Consider the following 6,069-nt stretch of genomic DNA (forward strand, 5'->3'; position numbering starts at 1 on the left):
TCCTATGATTTCATTACTAGCCAGTCAGCAGTACCCATTCCCTAGCCCCCTGTCTGCCAAATTATCCTTAAAAACCCTAGCCTCCAAGCTTTCAGGGAGGCAGATTGTAAAAATGTCTAGCATCCTCCTGCTTGGCTGGCCCTGCAATAATTACACTCTTTCATTGCTGCAATACGAGCTGTTCTCAGTCTTTGGCTTTTCTGGGCAGTGGGCAAGATGCACCTGTTGGGCTGTTACACTTGGTTCTATGCTTCCTGGTTGCAGTCCTCAATCTTGGCCCAAATAAACTCTCTACCTATATTAAGTATGCCTCAACAAGTGTTTTTTCCTTTAGGTCAACAGTGACAATAATAATAGCAACCATTTGTTGAGTGCCTCCTATGTGCTAGGTACTATATTAGATGCTACATGTAAATTTATCTCATTTAATCTCCCCCGCAGCCCCTTCTAAGTAGATGTATTCGTTTGCATTTGTCTCAGAGCAGTGAGCAGAGTAGGGCTGTTCACAGTCACAAAGCCTCCAGCTTGCTGCTCTGGAGGTAGGTAACTGAGTATCCTGAGGAACCTCCTCTGCTCTACACAGTGAGGTTCTTTAGTGCCTTGGGAGGACTCAGCTGGGATTTGCTATTCAATTGACACCTACTTGACTCCATCACACACTGGCTACAAGTCATGTTTCTGCCCTCTGCCATAATTTCTCACTGAACTGTTGAGGGGCATGGGTAAGGCAACACAGTGGTTTTTGTATAGTCTATTCAGGGACTCTAAGGTTTCATAGGTGCTTCAGGATGGCTGTGAGGGGTGAGGGGTGCCACACAGAGGCCTCTCACCCAGCCTCATCCAAAACTATTCTGTCGTTCTCTATAAGATCTTCTCTATAAGATCTCAACAGCAAACAAGTTTTGTTCTCCCTAGCCACATACACATACACACACACATGCACACCCTTTTGGAAATGCTGCATGTAATGTGTTTGGAACATGTTAGAGATTTCATCAATGCATTTGACATATCTATTTTATTCCTACTGTGTGCCAAGGACTGTGTTAACAGCTAAGGACACAGTGGGAAACTGAAAAAACATGGTCTCCGTCCTCACCTAGTTTATATTTCAGTGGGAATGAATAATTCTAAAGTGTAGTAAAGATTAGGAAGAAAAACATAAAGTTCTGTCTAGGCACACACCAGGGCAATGTGCCCCAGCATTATCCCATAGAAATAGAACATGAGTCCTGGCTAACATGGTGAAACCCCGTCTCTACTAAAAATACAAAAAAATTAGCCAGGCATGGTGGTGGGTGCCTGTAGTCCCAGCTATTCGGGAGGCTGAGGCAGTAGAATGGTGTGAACCCAGGAGTAGGAGCTTGCAGTGAGCTGAGATCACGCCACTGCACCCCAGCCTGGGTGACAGAGTGAGACTCCATCTGAAAAAAAAAAAAAAAAAAAAAAAAAGGAAATGGACCATGAGGCCAGGTGCGGTGGCTCACACCTGTAATCCCAGCACTTTGGGAGGCCAAGGCAGCTGGATCACGAGGTCAAGAGATCAAGACCATCCTGGCCAACATGGTCAAACCCCATCTCTACTAAAAAAAAAATACAAAAAATTAGCTGGGCACGGTGGTGTGCTCCTGTAGTCCCAGCTACTCGGGAGGCTGAGGCAGGAGAATTGCTTGAACCTGGGAGGTGGAGGTTGCAGTGAGCCGAGATCGTGATACTGGACTCCAGCCTGGTGACAGAGTGAGACTCAGTCTCAAAAAAAAAAAAAAAAAAAAAAAGAAAGAAATAGAACATGAGCCACAGATGTGGGGAACCACATATGTCATTTAATAATTTCTGGTAGCCACACTAGCAAAAGTAAAAAAAAAAAAGTGAAATTAATTTTAATATATTTACCCAGTATATCTAAAATATCATTTCAACATGTAATCAGTATTAAAAATTATCAATGAGATATTGTGTATTATTACATTTTACTAAGTTTTCAAAAATCTAGGGTATACTTGACACTTACAGGGCATCTCAATTGGACTGGCCACCTTTCCAGTGCTCGGTAGCCACGTGGTAGTGGCTGTGGTATTTGATGATACATCTCCAGACTGAGGAGTTCAGAGAAGTCTCCCAGGGAAGGGGCATTTTAGCTGAGATCTAAAGTAAAGCTGAGTAAGGTTTGAGGAGGTAAAGGGGGCATACGGGGAGAGTGGTCCAGAGAGAGGGGACAGCATATGTGTAAAGGTCAGGGTACAGTTGAGGAACTGGAAGAGTCAGTGTGGCTGGATCTTAGTGAGTCAGGGCAGAGTATGCAAGATGAGGCTAACAGTGCCTTGAAGACTAAGTGAAAAAACATGGCTTTTAAATCTCAAAAACAATGGGAAGCCACTGAGAAATTTTACGATCAAACAAATTAACATTCAGTAAATGGGAATGAAGATCACTCGTGTTTTGGGGCCTCACAAAAACTGTCAACTTCTTTTCTCCAGATGGGAGACTGTGGCTTGCCTGCAGGCATGAGCTGCCCTGATTCAGAGAGCAGCTGAGAGTAGGGCCAGCCTCTCTGCATGGGTCTGCCATATCCTTCAAGAGCAGTTAACACATAGCCCACAGACAGGTGTGTCCCGAGACAGATGCTCCCTGGATGTGGGGTTACTTTGCTTCTCTCCTCTATGAGAAGAGGGCACAGCTGGGTTCTCAAAGGCATGTCCCCTTCCATGCTCCAATGACCACCCCAAGCAACCACCCCTGGAACTGCCCTGGGTTTGGAGGTGACAGGACAGTGTACTCTGCTGGGAGGGGTCCAGTCCATGATGTCTCACCAAAACTTTCTCATGTCACACAAGGCACAGGGTGCCACCTCCTCAGGAGTCCCACCTCCCATGGTTCTCTGGTCTCTTGCTTTCTGTTTGGGCATCTCCCTGCTCTATGCCATTGAGTCGTTGAATGAAGGTTTGGGAGGAAGGAAGGCCAGTAGAGCCCTCCCCAAGGCTCAGACCTCTCCCTTTCTCTTTGGGAGGCCTTCTTCAGAAAGTCCGCTCTTAAATCTGGGGGAGCAAACAGGGAGGGGTGTCACCTAAGGAAGGCCTTTGGCACAGGCTTTAAATGTCCAAAGGGAGGGTCAAGGCAGAACCAAGACCAAGGTGTGGGAGTTGCAGGCAGGTAGACTTGCTTTCATAAAGGAAAGTGCCATCCAATAATCGGAACTCTCAGATATGTAACTGATTGCCAGGCAGTGAGGAGAAGTCAACTAGATGAACAGAACCTCTGAGGAGACCTCAGAGACCTTCTGGAGCCGTGGCTCTAAAATTTCAGTCCTCAGGCTGGGGCTGATCCAAGGCCAATTTCTACTGGACCCCAGTAAAATAGAGAAAGTGGGAAAATTTTCCATAGAACTCATTTTCAATGCCGAGATTATCTTCCCTGTGTTTTTTCACATTTAGGTACAACTTGTTGTGTGAAATGATGGTACTAACAGATTATTACTTTTTTATTGCACCTTGGTTGCCAATATTATAAACTCTCCCAGAGAGTATTTTTGAAATTGTAATTGTCCATGAAATCCAAATGCCTGGGAATATTGATCTAATATAACTGTCCTGTTCCCAAAATCTAAACCATCAAAATCACCTTCACGCCACTCAACCAGCACCACACCCAATGGAAGCCCCAGACTTTTCACCACTTATGTGTTAGTCTTGAGCCTAAAACCTCAGCTGCATGTCTTACTAATGCATGGGATGTTGGGGATGTTGTCTGAAATTGCCAAGCTCTTATTCACAACTTGAGAAGGGCTTGGCCATTGACCATGCCAGAACATCAACAACAGAGACCTTTGGGGATTGATGGGCAACAAGCACTAGTTAGGCTTGAGGACTAGCAAATGGCCTGGCTGTGAGTCTGGTGCTGGTGGAGATAGTGGGTACTGTTTTGTCCAAGAGCCAAGGAGCTTGTCATACACAAGAGACACCCATGCCAGGGCCACTTGGTAGTGAGGTAGGATTGCCCAAGTGATAGATGATTTATGTAGTCATGCAGGGGGAGGGGCAGGAGTATTTCCAGTGTACATTTCAGCTGCAGGAGGCTCCCAGGAAGGAACAGGACATCTGGGAACCAAGAACAGCCCATGGGGAGGGGTGACAAGAAAGAGGCATACCAAGTGGAGTGGGGTTCAAGACAGAGAGTTCAGACCCAGGATAGAAATCAACTGCTGGGCAGGAAAACTGGACAGAAGAGGCCTAGATACATGGACTGAGCCACCCCATGGCAAGGAAGTGGGTTGGAAGCAAGAGCAGGTTGTGCTCAATTGGCACCTGGGAGTTGGAGTGTTGCTTCTTTGTCTATATGACCTTCTTGAGGCTCCCCAGTTGGTGAGGCTGAGATTGCTAATGTCTTCCTGCCCTGGTCAAGTTGGCTGCAGAACTGGGCTGGGAAGAATGTGCAGGGAAAGGCCTCAGCACCTGGAGCTTTGAGGTGAGAGAAAGACCAGGACTCATGCTATAGAAAAGCAGTCTCTTCAATATGTTCCATGCAACACCAGCAGGCAAGGGAGTTTGGTTAATTCTGCATACTCTATCCTCCTCTGGGAGACTTGTAGTGTACATGAATATATTCAAGGCTCTGAGGAGTTCTGTGGAACACAACTAACTTTGCTTAATCCAGCATTCCCAACATGATTAAAGCCTGGGACCCTGTGTTAACCACAAGCCTATTAACCTTCCTCAACACTAATGTTTGACAGGAGATCCTGTGGGAAATCCTGCTTGATTTGCCTTAGACTGAACCTTGAGGCCAACCAAATCCCTTGTGCCTTGAGGCTTTTGTGTGTGTGTGTGTTCATATGCATGCACATGCTACAGCAAGAGAGAGAGAGAGTCTTCAAAATTGACTGCGGAAATTGCATGATAATGCCACCACCTGCTGCCACCCGAACTGGTCACTTTAATGGGCTCTGACAAGAATACCAAATCTTCACTTTGATTTGGGTCCATTAATTTCATTCTTTGCAGAGGGTCTGGTTGACTCACTTTGACAACAGAAATATGAAAATTTCAACAGGACAGATGTCCATGACAATGCCTTGACTTCTCCCTCTCCTGCCCAGTGTCAAGGCAATTGTATTTCAATTTGTTTTTCCATGGTATTTATGACCAGCAGATGCCCTACGATGTGTCCAAGGCAGTTGGCAAGTGCTAAGAGAGAGAGAGCTGCACACAGGAGGGCTTTACTTGTTACAACAGAACACTGAAGCTGGTCTCAAGAAAGAGTATTAAACTTGCAAGGATGCCTGACCACCAGATGTGACCTGGTTGCCTTGAACTTCACCTTCTTGGAGGAGGCAGCTTCATCTAGTGGCCCGGAGTCTGTGTAGGCTGGAATTCGACTGTCTGTGTTTGAATTTTGCCTCCACCACTTACCAGCTGTTTGACCTTGGGCAAGTTGTTTAACCACTCTCTGTCCTAGTTCTCTAATCTTCAATAACATTTATCTCATAGCATAACAGTGCAGATTAAATATGTGTAAAGTTCTTAGAGCATAAATAATGGTACAATATATGCTAGTTAATATCATTGTATTAGTTCGTTTTCACACTGCTGTAAAGATTACCCAAGACTGGGTAATTTATAAAACAAAGGGAAGACGTTTAATTGACTCCCAGTTTTGCATGGCTGGAGAGGCCTCAGGAAACTTACAATCATGGCAGAGGGGAAAGCAGCCCATCTTACATGGCAGCAGGTAAGAGAGCATGTATGTGTCAGTACAGGAAAAACTACCATTTGTAAAACATCAGATCTTGTGAGAATTCACTCACTATCATGAGAACAGCATGGGGGAAGCCACCCCTGTAATCCAATCACTTCCCATCAGGTCTCTCTCTAAACATCTGGGGATCACAATTCAAGATGAGATTTGGGTGGAGACACAAAGCCTAACCCTATCAATGATTAGTATTGAAAGTTTCCTTCATCCTCCTGCCTAGTAATTACTAACCCTTTCCTTTGTTTGGCATTCAGAAGTAGGGAGGTGTTTCCCTTTTAAAGCTTGGCTCAGGTGTAGATATAAACTCCATTTTTCCTTTCA

At 45.3% G+C, this 6,069-nt stretch overlaps 1 annotated feature.

Moving 5' to 3' along the window:
* Positions 4,648 to 5,149: an enhancer, noted in NCBI's record as "OCT4 hESC enhancer chr11:11117645-11118146 (GRCh37/hg19 assembly coordinates)". NCBI's record gives its function as "activates a minimal SCP1, AML or CMV promoter by ChIP-STARR-seq in naive H9 embryonic stem cells {active_cell/tissue: H9 hESC(naive)}" and the evidence as "EXISTENCE:reporter gene assay evidence [ECO:0000049][PMID:30033119]".

The sequence above is a fragment of the Homo sapiens genome, chromosome 11 (assembly GCF_000001405.40).
Source record: "Homo sapiens chromosome 11, GRCh38.p14 Primary Assembly".
Taxonomy (NCBI): Eukaryota; Metazoa; Chordata; class Mammalia; order Primates; family Hominidae; genus Homo; species Homo sapiens.